The sequence below is a fragment of the Homo sapiens genome, chromosome 7 (assembly GCF_000001405.40).
Source record: "Homo sapiens chromosome 7, GRCh38.p14 Primary Assembly".
Lineage (NCBI taxonomy): Eukaryota > Metazoa > Chordata > Mammalia > Primates > Hominidae > Homo > Homo sapiens.
This window is the reverse complement of record NC_000007.14, coordinates 87,423,653-87,437,085: the sequence shown is the minus strand read 5'-3', so window position 1 is coordinate 87,437,085 and position 13,433 is coordinate 87,423,653. Positions and strand designations below refer to the sequence as shown.

The 13,433-nt window shown below is 38.1% G+C and overlaps 1 protein-coding gene across 20 annotated transcripts in view; it reads left to right on the top strand.

Annotated features, from left to right (window-relative positions):
- Positions 1 to 13,433, top strand: part of ABCB4 (ATP binding cassette subfamily B member 4) — a 110,132-nt gene that overhangs the window by 38,942 nt on the left and 57,757 nt on the right. For all 20 annotated transcript variants that reach the window (XR_007060054.1, XR_007060047.1, XR_007060046.1 and 17 more), the window contains 3 exons: positions 5,521 to 5,682; positions 10,166 to 10,336; positions 13,034 to 13,180. Coding sequence is in view for 8 of the 20 variants with exons in the window: in XM_011516309.4 (XP_011514611.4) it covers positions 5,521 to 5,682; positions 10,166 to 10,336; positions 13,034 to 13,180 (480 nt within the window). In the remaining 12 variants the exon portion in view is untranslated. The remainder of the gene's footprint in view (positions 1 to 5,520; positions 5,683 to 10,165; positions 10,337 to 13,033; positions 13,181 to 13,433) is intronic.

Below are 13,433 nucleotides of genomic sequence, written 5' to 3'. Positions count from 1 at the left end.
TTCTAAAGCATGCCCTCTGTCACAATTATTTACATTTCTTCCACATGCAAAAGAAGGTCACCTCTTCCTCAGACCCTCAAAATGTTCATACAGTGATAGCATCTGGCTCAAAGACCAGTATCTGAAGATCTGCATGTGGTCTAATACAGATGAGGGTCTTCATTTTCAGCTCATCTTGACCCACAGACCTATGAAAAAGACAAGTTATCATCAACACATACTCTCAACATAGAGTGGCGGTGCAGGGACAGGATAATCATAGCAGATACTCATTCAAAAAGGATGAGAACAGAAAGCTCATAGCAGTCCTTGGCCATAGCAATTCTGACATGCAGCCAATTACCCCACTACTCCAGGGAAATGGGATGTTTCTTGATTAAGGCCTGATTCTGCTCCCCAGGAGTGGGTTCCCTAGTCCATTGTTCTCTTTAGTTCCAGGGTCTTTTACCTTCCCTCTAAGAGGGCTTTCCTTTTTCATAAGAAATGATCTGTATCTGCAGCTGAGTGGATTTCTTTGCATGTTTCTGCCCATAGAAATTTGGGGCCCTTTTCATTTTGTATTTTTTTCAGTCTCTTTTAGACTAAGCTGAAGGACTGTCTTAAAGACTTTGTGAGTTTACTTAGAATCTAGCTGTCATTTACTCAAGCCCCAGAAGTTATGCCTATATATTTTATTTTGAGACAGGCTCCTCTCTTCTTTGGGCTGCAAGTGAACCTGCCATCAGAAAACTCTTAAATAGTTTTTAAGGCTTTTTTTTTTTTTGTAGCTGAAAGTGTCCACTAGGCTCTGCCTAAAATCTTTCAGAGATTTTTGCTAAAAATCTTACACCTACACACTCTGATTTTTGCCCTAATTTTATTGGATGACTAACAACTTCATTTTCCAACTGAGTACTGGGGTCTGCTTTATTGTCTTAAATTCTCCTTGTAACCAAGTAGCTCATTCTTTAGCTGATCATTCTCTTCCCAAACCTCATTGTACACAGCTAGGGGAATCCACTTGTCTCTCCTATAGTCTGTCTAGAGATGTCTGAAATCTCCTCAGCCAGATGTACAGGTTCATTAAGTAAAATGTCTTTCTTCCAAGTCACTGCAGGAAATATTTTTGTCAAATTTTCCAAGGTTACATAATGAAGGTACTCCTTTTCTATCCTCTAATAGCAATTTCTTTACTCTTGTTTCAGTCTCCACTAACAATATTATCACCTTCCTTTCAACCACCACCTACCACTCAATCCCAAAGCCAATGTCACATGTTTTAGGTTTTTGGTTACAGCAGCATACCAATCTAATTACTAATTTCTGTATCAGTTGTTTTAAGCCAAGAATTTAGTGACTTAAAATACAACTTTTATTGCCCACAAATTTGTGGGTTGGTAAAGTGGTTTTTCTGTTGGTTTTGCCTAGTCTTATTTCAGCTCAGGGTCACCTGGGCTGGAATATTCAAAGTGGCCTCACTCATGTGCCTGGCAGTTGGGGATGGCTGTTGCCTAAGGCAGGTTGCTTTTCCTCCCTGAAGCCAGTTATCCTTCAGGAGGCTAGAGAAACTTCCTTTCACTGCGGTTCCAGGGTAACATCCGAAGATGGCAAACAGACGAGCTGTGTGAGATCCCTTGAGGCCTGGGCTCCAGAAATTGTAGAAATCAATTTCTTTACATTTTCTTTGTCAAAACAAGTTACAGGGCCTGCCCAGATATGAGGAGGCAGAGAAATTGGCTCCACTTCTGTATAGGAGAAGCTGCAAAGTGTTTGTGGCCATATTAATCTGCCATAGTTGCTATGAAAACAGTTTATAATCTGCACTAATTGGCTCCACACTGCAAGGTAATTATGCTAATATTTTTACAGACAATAAACCATACCTTTAAAGATAAACCCTTTATTACTATGTCCCCAAAGAAGATACCAATCAATCAGTTAGCCAGTCACTCTAACTTACAATCCAACTCTCTTTTTAATGATGAAAAGTTGAATTTCATAAATTGTAGTCTTGCCTCTGAGGACCATAAGGATGTATCACTATTATATCTACTGTTATTTCTACTCAATTACCCATCCTGGAAGAATAATATTTTTATTTTGTGGATCCTTTATACATTGATCAGGCCTTCCTTGTGTGGCAACAGCTTACTGTAGTTACCTACTTATTTTTATGCCTTCTCTTTCCTAGGAAGAATAAACCACCCCAGGAGGCAGAATTAATAAAAAGATTCATATTTGAATCTCTTCAACAGCCCAGTGCCTTGCACATAGTAGAGGCTAAATAAATATTTACTAAATTGACTATGATGGCCCAGCTCATTGAGAAAATATGTCTACATTAAAATAATTTTTTTTTTGAGACGGAGTCTCGCTCTGTCTCCAGGCTGGAGTGCAGTGGTGTGATCTTGGCTCACTGCAACCTCCGCTTCCCGGGTTCAGGCAATTCTCCTGCCTCAGCCTCCTGAGTATCTGGGACTACAGTCACATGCAACCACGCCCAGCTAATTTCTGTATTTTTAGTAGAGATGGGGTTTCCCCATGTTGGCCAGGATGGTCTCAATGTCTTGATCTCGTGATTCGCCTGCCTCGGCCTCCCAAAGTTCTGGGATTACAGGTGTGAGCCACCGCGCCCGGCCCTAAAATAAATTTTAATAGTGATGACCATATTAGCTTTTGACTCTACAGATAGCAACTATTTGTCAAAATAAATAAAATGCTATTAAATATAAGATCTTGAAGAAAGATATAACAGCAGATTTTGTATTTTGACTCTTTTAAAGAAAGGCAATACAGTTTCATACCTACATGCACACTCCTGATCATGGTGTTATCATAGAAGAACAGGAAAAGAAACAAAATGGTGGCCAGGTGTGGTGGCTCACGCCTGTAATCCCACAACTTTGGGATGCTGAGGCTGGCGGATCACGAGGTCAGGAGATTGAGACCATCCTGGCCAACATGGTGAAACCCTGTCTCTATTAAAATCCAAAAAAAAAAAAAAAAAAAAATTAGCCAGGTGTGGTGGTGGGCACTTGTAGTCCCAGCTACTGGGGAAGCTGAGGCAGGGTAATCGCTTGATCCCAGGAGGTGGAGGTTGCATAAGCCAAGATCATGCCACTGCATTCCAGCCTGGCAACAGAGCAAGACTCCATCTCAAAAAAAAAAAAGAATGAAAACGGTGATTTTATGGTGATTTTTATAAAAAGATTCCAAAAGGTTTCATTCTGATGCTGTTTTACCAAAGTTCCAGAAAGGCTAGTAGATTAGTCCTCCCTTTGTTTAGGCCCACCTTTCATCCCTGAACATCCCAAATTAGTCAAAGGTCTAAATTTCATAATAGCTGGTGTCCCTAAATCTAGGATATTTATTTATCAATGTCCTGTCATCATCAGGGTGTCTGGGAGCTCTGAAAAAAAAAAAAAAAAAAACAACAACAATTTTTTGTGTCAAAGCTCTACTTTGGCCAACTTCTCTTGGTCAAAGGTGACAGTTGCTTACTTCTAAATTGATGAACACGTACTTTATTTCTTTTACATAGCAATCATTCACTCATACATCTGATTCCAATTCCTTTGTGTATATATGTTGACATATCATCAACCTATTATCATCATCATGATAATATAGTCATTGTTAGCAATTTATTCATCACTGTTAGCATCATGAATATAATTACAGTAATCAAATTATTTTGTATATGCCTTATTATATATGGACTAAACCCAGCTTCCATATAAGTAAATATTTGTGAGTGCTTCTTTGGGGCTTATATACTAAAAATCAAATAATAGTCTTAAATGTTGTCCAAGAGAGCTGTGTTCTAGCCTCTCTCTCTTTCCAGTGATGTTTCTCTTTTATATTTACTTAAAAACAATTGATTCATCTGGATTTATTTTAATGTAAGGACTAAAGTAGAAATACCACATTACTTTATTAAATGGCTGCACAATTGTCCCAATACCATTTATTGTATAATTCACCTTTTCTTTACCAATAGGTAGTACCATATTTATTGTAATTAAATTCTTAGATGGTTTATGTCTATTTCTGGACTCTCCATTTGGTTCTATTGATCAAATTACCCATTCACGTGCTGGTTTTTCCTAGGTTTTACTATTTTAATTGCTGTAGCTTTTTATATGCTAATATCTGTTAGAGATATTTCCTTCTCATTACTCCTCTCATTAACTTCTTTTTCAGAATTTTCATGGCTATTTTTAAAAAATTGAGATACAAACACATGCCATAAAATTCACCCTTTAAAAATATACAATTCCGGGGTTTTTAGAATATTCACAAGGTTGTACAACCATCACTGCTATCGAATTCCAGAACATTTTCACCACCTCATTAAGAAACCAGTCACTCTGCATTCCACCCTCACTCTAGCCCTTGGCAACCATGAATCTACCTTCTGTCTCTATGAATTTGCCTACTCTTAGATATCTCATATAAATAAAATCATACCATGTGTCATCTTTTGTGACTGGCTTCTTTCACTTAGCACAATGTTTTCAAAGTTCATCTATGTTGTGATGTGAATCAAAATGCATTCTATTTTATGGCCTAACAATATTCCATTATATGGATATACCACATTTTAAATCTGTTTGCCAATTGATGAATATTTGGATTGTTTCCACTTTTTGCCTATTATGAATCTAGCCTCTCATTTTTAATTTATATGTTAACCACTTAGGTGAATTAGACTATTCTCTAATAACCATCCTAATGATGTGGTTTGATTGTCTCAGAGTAGGAGTGATCTTAAGCTATTGGGTAAAAGGGCTAATGAGTGTCAGAAAGAGTAGCCATTATTAATGACATAATATCAATACTTTTATTGGCATTATCCAGGGTTTAAATGCCCATTTATAAATCCACCCAGCAAACATATGAGGCCACTAAACTAGTTAGACAGGTGATTTGTAGATTTTAGCATGCATAAAAATCACCTAGGGCACTTGTTAAAGAGCAGATTTACTTGCCTTACTCTAGAGATTATGCTTTGGATGGCTTTTGAACCATAATTTTAATAGTCCTGATCCCAAGGTACATTTTCACCTAAACTGCCTGCTTTCAGTTCATCAGAATTAGTTAAGATCAGGCTCTTAAAAAGAGATCCTACAGCAGTGCTCTGGAAAAGGCTGTCACTTGGCAACAACTTCCCTAAAATATTTCTGGTGATGTCTCTAGCATTCCATATAACTTAGAGCTAGGGCTTCTCAGACAAGTGTGAAAACACTGAAGAAGGATCAAACCCTTATTTTTCTTAAGTAAACACTGACACTACCATAGGTTTCTGGAGAAATCACCCATCCTCCTACTGAAGGGGTTAGCCACTTGTCTGGTCCCAAACTCGTCTGACTTTAATTTTTCATAAAGAGTGATGCCTTTGCCATAATCACGCAGAGATCTGGAGTATAAACTACTCTCTAATCATCTACAAACAGCATTCATCCAAGTGCTTAACTGTGCATGTTAATTGACAGTGTGCCAATACTGTAACCCTGATGCACCACATTTTTGTTCTTTTAGGCCAGAGAAGGCCGGACCACCATTGTGATAGCACACCGACTGTCTACGGTCCGAAATGCAGATGTCATCGCTGGGTTTGAGGATGGAGTAATTGTGGAGCAAGGAAGCCACAGCGAACTGATGAAGAAGGAAGGGGTGTACTTCAAACTTGTCAACATGCAGGTACTTGCTTTTCAGGAATTTTTTCTGCTATTTGCTCCTCAATATAGTGTTCTTTAAATATTAAAATATGATCCAGTGAATGCTATACTGAGCAAGAAGAAACTTCAACAAGATGCCTAAAAGTGTATATCTGAGACTTTAAATCAGAATCTGTAAAGAGGTAGCAGGTGAGAAAATAGGGGAAAGTGCCAAAAACATCATGGATATATTCCTTAGGACAGATTCCTAATTGCCTGGGGAATGTGGTCAAACTAAAAGGTCCTTTCTACCATAATGGGATGGTCAGAGTTTTGGGAGTCAGAGGACGAGAAAAGTGTTTCGACTTGTCCGAGGAGCCCCGGCTCTGAGTTATATGGAATGCCAGAGACTTTACCAGAAACATTTTAGGGAAGTCATTGACAAGTGACCGCCTTTTCCAGAGCACTGCTGTAGGGTTCCTTTTGACCAGCCAGGATCTCTAGTGGTTGAGGGAGGTCTCATGTGATCTAAAATTGTTTCCCAGATGATCCTAATAAGACCATCATCAAGATTTGTGGCTCTAGGAAGTGAATAGTTTGTCTTTTAAAAGGAAAAAGCAGGCCAGGTGCAGTGGCTCATGCCTGTAATCCCAGCACTTTGGGAGGCTGAGGTGGGCAGATCACCTGAGGTCAGGAGTTCGAGACGAGCCTGGCCAACATTGTGAAACCCCCATCTCTACTAAAAATACAAAAAATTAGCTGGGCATGGTGGTGCACGCCTGTAGTCCCAGCTACTTTGGAGGCTGAGGCAGGAGAATCGCTTGAATCCGGGAGGTGGAGATTGCAATGACCTGAGACTACACCACTGCACTCCAGCCTGAGTGACAGAGCGAGACTCTGTCTCAGAGAAAAAAGAAAGAAAAGAGCACTCATTCATTCTAGTTCCTAAAACAGGTTATATTGATAATGATTGGTTTTTCATATTATTAAGACATGTTATTATACTCAGTCACTTGAGCAACATTGCAGAATAAATAACCTAAGAATATTTTATTCTATGAACGATTCTATTTGTGAAAGTATATACATTTGCTTTGATACAACTGTAATTAGCATGTACACACATATTTTTGTTCTTTTTTCTTAACATTTCAGATATACGTCATCCACATACTATTATTTTAATGGGTGCTCAGAAGTTCATTTTATTAATGTGTGAAATTAGTCATTTTTCTAAAGTTAGATATTTGGTCTGTTTCCAGTATTTCTCTATTCTAAATATTGCCACTGTGAGCACAAGTAGATCAAAAAAGGTTGTCAAAATTTTGCCTTGCTTTCTGACAAGTAACTCTTCTGAGCCTTCGTTTCTACATTTGGAATACCAAACCTACCATGAGAGGTTGCTATAAGTTTAGAAAAATAAACATCTGAATACTTGTGTACTAAAAACAACCTACTGAAATGTTTAAAAGGGTGGATTTTGTGATATGTTAATTATATTTTTAAAAAGCTGTTTTTCTTTTTTTTTTTTTAAAAAAAAAAAGACCTGACACAAATTAGATGATGATAAATGGTGGTTACTAAAATTTGCAAATTCCCCCAAATGAAAATACCAAATGAAATGACGAAAAGTTTTATAACTCAGGCTTGCATGTGCCAGAGGGTGTTCTACAGTGGAGGGAATCAATGATAGTGTCTCTGCCGAATGCTACCATATGGCCTAGCCACCATAAAGGGTCTTTGTCATTTCACTAGTTAGGAATGCATAAAATGTTACTTTAAATCCATTTTAGTTTTAATTTCATGAGTGGTTACCAAGGGTCTGTGATTTTGCCCATAATGACATGTTGAATCCTCAAGTGAAATAACCACTTGGCTGTCCTATTGCCATAAGCTCTTGTAAGAATGACCTCTGCTTCCATCAGGACTTGGATTGGGAGACTGCTAAAGAGATGCAGACAGCTCTGACCTTTCTATATCAAATTCCCAAGCTTACTTTCTTAGGAAAAGTTGTACATTTGAAGACTGAACAGTCAGTGGTCTGGCATGATAGAAATCTGTCACCAACTAGGCAATAGCTTTGAGCAAGTCATTTAACCAAATTGGGTTTTGTTATCCTCACTTGCTAAATGAGCAGGGGCTTCAGGTAAGATGACCTCTGATATTTCTACCAGCTCTGGCATTCTGTGATTCTCAGCCCCTTTGAATAGTTCCACCTGGGTACCCCCACATTTCCCATTTCTGATTTGAGTTTTGCCCTCCCACTTACTTGGTGAGGCTGGAGAGATGAGGGAAAGACCCACTGTGAGCCTGAGAGTCAGCAGATGCTCAAGCTAATGCAGTACTCTTTTCTCAAGTTTCAAAGACCAACCTGGTTTTCATTCACCCTTGTTTTGGTATTGTTTCTAACAAGTATCACTGCTTTTCCATTAGGTAGACTGTTGGCTCTTAGTTGTTTCTTTTAAATGTATCTTAATTTTTTTCTGATTATAAAGGTAATGCATTCTTTTTAAAAATCAAGCATTTTTTTAAAAAATCCAAACATTACATTCTAGAAACTTGAAAGTCATCATAAGCCAAATCCCTACAAACAGCCACTGATAGCTATTTCGTATTTATTTTTCATCTTTGCCAGCCTAAAGAGTTAAACAGTATCTTCAAATTTAACTATTTATAAGATTGAGCTTATTTCTACATTTTTATTGGCCATTTATATTTTTCTTCCTCTGTGAAAGTATTTGTTCCTGTATTAGGATATTTTTCTGTTGTGTTGTTCATGATATTCTCATTGATTTGTGAGAACTCTTTACATAAAAAGAAAATACACTCTTCTCTTGCGTGTATTGGAGAGATTTTTTTTTCCTGCTTTGTTCCTTTCAATTTCACTTTGTTGTATTTGGCTGCCATAAAGAAGCTTTAAAATGTATGTAATTAGGTTGTCAGTTTTTTCCTCCATGTCTTCAGGATTTGAGGTTGTTCTCCGAAAGGATATTTACCCCATTTCCTTTCAGCATTTTTTGTTCTGCTTTTTTACAATTAAATCTTTGAGACAACTGAAGTATACCTGGGTGGAAGAAATGAGGGCTATTGGTTTTAAATAGATACTTTTTAACACCTGGTGGAAAAGTGGCTATCTTGGCTTGGAGCTCAATGACCTTTCAGCTGAAGCACCCAACACCAACTGAGTGTTTTAGGTAAGGCACAGAAAAAATATTATGAAAGAGACAGGTAATGTTCATTTGGTCATAGAAGGAAGCTAAAATCTGAATGGGCTTATTGGAAGAACTGTCCATTGAGATGGACCTCTTGATAGCATGGATGAGATTACCAAAAGAGGAAAAGTTCTGGGGAGGTATTCATGAGAGGTGGTCTGGTTTGACTTGCCATGAGCTAGATTTTTGGGGATCCAGGCTTGGGCAGGTAGTGGGAAGCTGGGGATGATTTTGAGCTGCCCTTTAGGAAAATAAATCTGGTAGCAGTGTGGGAACAGATGGCAGTGAGAATGCAAGGGATCAATTACAAAGTCTGCAGCCTAGGTTGGTTTTTGTTGAGAGATGGTATAAAACTGATTCAGTAATGAGCAAATAAGGAAATCCACCAAGCAGAACATATCACTGCAATGTGGTTCAAGGCAATATATAAGCACATGGGCAGTGTTCTGTCAGATGTTGAATGAGCAACTGGAAAACTAAGAGATCATGATTGGCTATTGTATGTACAGTAAGGCACTAGCCAAAGGATTGGGTTCAGGGCAGGTCTTGAAGGGAGGAGCAAGAACAAGACACTACTACAAGGACTAAGACCCTGAACAAACTATTAAGATGTGTAGTTGGACACATCTTAATAGTGGAGGAAGCAAATAGGGAACCAGTCCAAAGTCCAACTCCAGCAGGGCTTGATGTTCCCTCACCCTTACTAGGCAGTGAACTAGAAGTCCTTAGATCAGCACCCCCACCCCCATTCCCATTAAAAAGAGAACTGATCTCACAGCCAGCAATGAGGCTGAGCCTGCATGTTGGGTCTCGTTGTGTGCATGAGAGCAGGACTGTGAGGAAGGAAGATGACCATACTCAGCCAGTCGAGGAAGACAGTTTTACCTCCCGTGGGTAGTGACCAGGCCCTTTGATTCAGCTTTTCTTGTTTGTAGCTTTAAAAACAAGCCCTTGTTAGTGTTTCCATGTAGTCTTCTTCCCTTTCTTGGTGGCCATGACTTGTTCCCTGGATTATTGCATATTAAGTAAATTCCTATATACCTTCTGGATTACGAAAAATGTGTCTTTAAATTTTTAGAAAATATTCTTATACTCCGATTTTCTTATTGTTCAAATTGAATTTAACCTTTCTATACTTTATAGTTTTCTAGCTATCCTTGATTGAGAAGCAGTTAGGAAATCTGAAAATCTTGATACATGTAATATTCCAAATTGCTTTATGATTCTAAACTTGGAGGTTACATCCATTTGGAGACACACACACACACACACACACACACACACACACACTTTAATGTCTTGATATTCTTTCAGACATCAGGAAGCCAGATCCAGTCAGAAGAATTTGAACTAAATGATGAAAAGGCTGCCACTAGAATGGCCCCAAATGGCTGGAAATCTCGCCTATTTAGGCATTCTACTCAGAAAAACCTTAAAAATTCACAAATGTGTCAGAAGAGCCTTGATGTGGAAACCGATGGACTTGTAAGTTGTTTTTCACTTAAATTAAGTCTTTTACTTTGTAGTTTTGCTACAATTATTGAAATTCTTAGCCTTGCAAATATTTTTCAGGCACAGATGACTGCTACTATGAGCCATACTCTTTGTAAAGAAAAAAATTTTCAAATTTTAAATGTATTTGACAATGAATTGAAATCAGTTCCAATTATAAATGGGTTTTCAAGGGAAAAAAAATCCAGAAATGTAGTCTTTACGCTGAGATGCTTAATATTAAAATTAAATTTGACATTCATCTTTGAGGTCCAGAGGTAATAAGACTGGTCCAAAACGAGAGGCCCTGATATTTGCATACTCTATTGGGTAGGATTACATTTGATTATCTATATTAGGAAACCCAGAATAGCATCCGTTTAAGCAAATTAAGAGTTTTTATTTCTGTTTCACATGCCAAAATCTTAGAGGTGAAAAACCCAGGGCTAGAACAGTAGCTCCACAGTCCCCATAGACACAAGCTCCCTTCATCTTTATCTGCACTACCCTGGCATCAGGTTTCCATCCTCAGGGTCACTTATGATCTAAGGTGGCTCCTGAAGCCCTACCTATCACATCTGTGGTCCAAGCAACAGGAAGAAACAAAGAGGTTTTCCAGAATTCCCACACAATACTATTACTTATAAGTCATTGGTCATAATTCGATCACATGGCCATACTTAGCAATGAGTATGGAAAATTCAATTTTTTTTTTTTGCTGTATGCATTGACATTCTAAATTAGATTGGAATTCTCTTACTTAGAAAAAGAGGAGAATGGTGAGAAATAGCAACGTTGGATTTAGGAGATTATTAACTCCAGTTAACAAATAATTTTATTTATTTATTTATTTTTAATTTTATTTTTTGAGACAGGGTCTTGCTGTGTTGCCCAGGCTGAAGTGCAGTGGTGCAATCTTGGCTCACTGCAACCTCCACTTCCCGGGCTCAACTGATTGTCCCACTTCAGCCTCCTTAGTAGCCGGGACTACAGGTGTGTGCCACCACACCTGGCTAATTTTTCTGTGCTTTTTGTAGAGACGAGGTTTTACCATGTTGCCCAGGCTGGAACAAATAATTTTATTATACAGAGGGAATCCATTCCAAAAAAAGATTTCCTTATTTCAAGATATAGTTTTGATATATTTTGATGTTATTTGTTAATGAAGACTGAGTTTATTTTTACTCTTGTGTTGGCCTGAGAAAACTAATTCTACCAATAATTTATTGCATCTGTTTTTATCTGTGCATGCTATTACTGCAGAAATTACAAGGACTCTCTTAGAGGTCTTAATCTTGGTATATTTATAGAAAGAAGAATAACAATTGTACCATTTTGGAGCGTCATTATTATAAGTCAGATAAGCAATTTCCCCTCTTTTGGCTATGAAATTATCCACTTTTCATTTCCTCATTTATTTTGAGAGTTATTTTGCTATCTCTTTAAACTCCAGTATTTTATAGGAGCACGTCTCTTGAAGAAATGCACAGAGAAGAGGGGGAGGCAGGAAATGCTGCAATCAACAAGATTGTCCCAAGTACCATCATAGGGAGAAAACAACATGCCAAAGGAGAGGGAGAGATTAAGTCTGATTAGAGGGACCTGTTTGTGTGCTGAAGAGCAGTAACCAAAGAAAAAGATTCATTCATTATGCTGGAGATAGGGACTTAAAGATAATGTTAACTAGGGAGGAAAAAAAAAAACCCTGAAATACAGAAAAAATGGGTAATTTGAAAGAAGGCTCAGTAGAACCTACTTCTATATTCTCTGTTTTATAGAGATATAAATATAACCTTTCTCAGTGACCTCAAGTTTTTGGGATTCCATAGTCACCTCTGTCTCAAGTTTAATGTTAAACTGCTTCTATCATCAAAACATTCTTTATGAGACCTAAATCCTGCATGCTTGGCCAGACATTTAATTAAACATTTGCTGAGAATCTTATATGTGCCAGGAATTGGACTACTTTCTAGGAATATAAAGACATAATCTTTACCTTAAAAAAAGTTACATACTAGAAATGGAAATATGTAAACAAAAAAATCACAGACAAGCTAAGCTATGAAATAAGAGAAGTCTGCACAGGGAAAAGTGTGGTAAGAGAAAAGGAATGTAATTAATTTGGTTTTGTGAGTTGGAAATATGGTACAGAAAAGGCAAGGTTTTGGGGTGAGGAGGCCAAGCCCATGTTCTCCAGTTAGTAATGGTTTCCTACATTTGCAAAGATGTTTATCCATCTACTCAGGTGTATTGTCTCATTTGACCCAGATATCATCCCTGTTAGAGAGGCAGGACTGTATCATAATATATGAGAAAACTGCAGCTCGGCTTATGTGGTCCAGCCATGACTGTCACACCAATACAGTGTTGTGTAACTCCAGAGCTGGATGCCAAGGTATTTGTGCCCAGATCCTGCTACCTCGCAGTCTGCTGAGGCCAGAATAGGGACGGGCTAAGCATCCCATGAAGGTTATTTCTTGGCCGAACAACCCATACTCAGCTTATGATGTGTAATCAGTAAACATTGTTAACATGTTATAATATACTGTCCTACTCTCTAGTAGTTTGCTTGTCATTCTCTGCACCTAGTTTGCGAGTCCCTTGAGGGCAATGGCCATGCCTTTTCTATGTCTACAGACTCTGGTAACTGTTGTGTCATCACCAGTTTGCCCTGATGTTTATATGTTCTAGGAAGCAAATGTGCCACCAGTGTCCTTTCTGAAGGTCCTGAAACTGAATAAAACAGAATGGCCCTACTTTGTCGTGGGAACAGTATGTGCCATTGCCAATGGGGGGCTTCAGCCGGCATTTTCAGTCATATTCTCAGAGATCATAGCGGTAAGTTTGCAAACACCACATAACAGCCTGAATTAGATCAATTCATCAGCTGCTGCTTCTCCCAACCTCACTGACTGGCTCCATTCTGGGATTAAGCAGCCTTAAATTAAACTAAGCCAAAGTCCTTAAATCCCTTTTGAGAAAAGCTGTGAGGGAAAAGATAAGTAGCCTTTGAATCACTCTAAGTTATGATATTAATGAAATTATAAAATGTAAAATCAATGAAGAAGGCATTCTAATGAGCTCTCTTCAT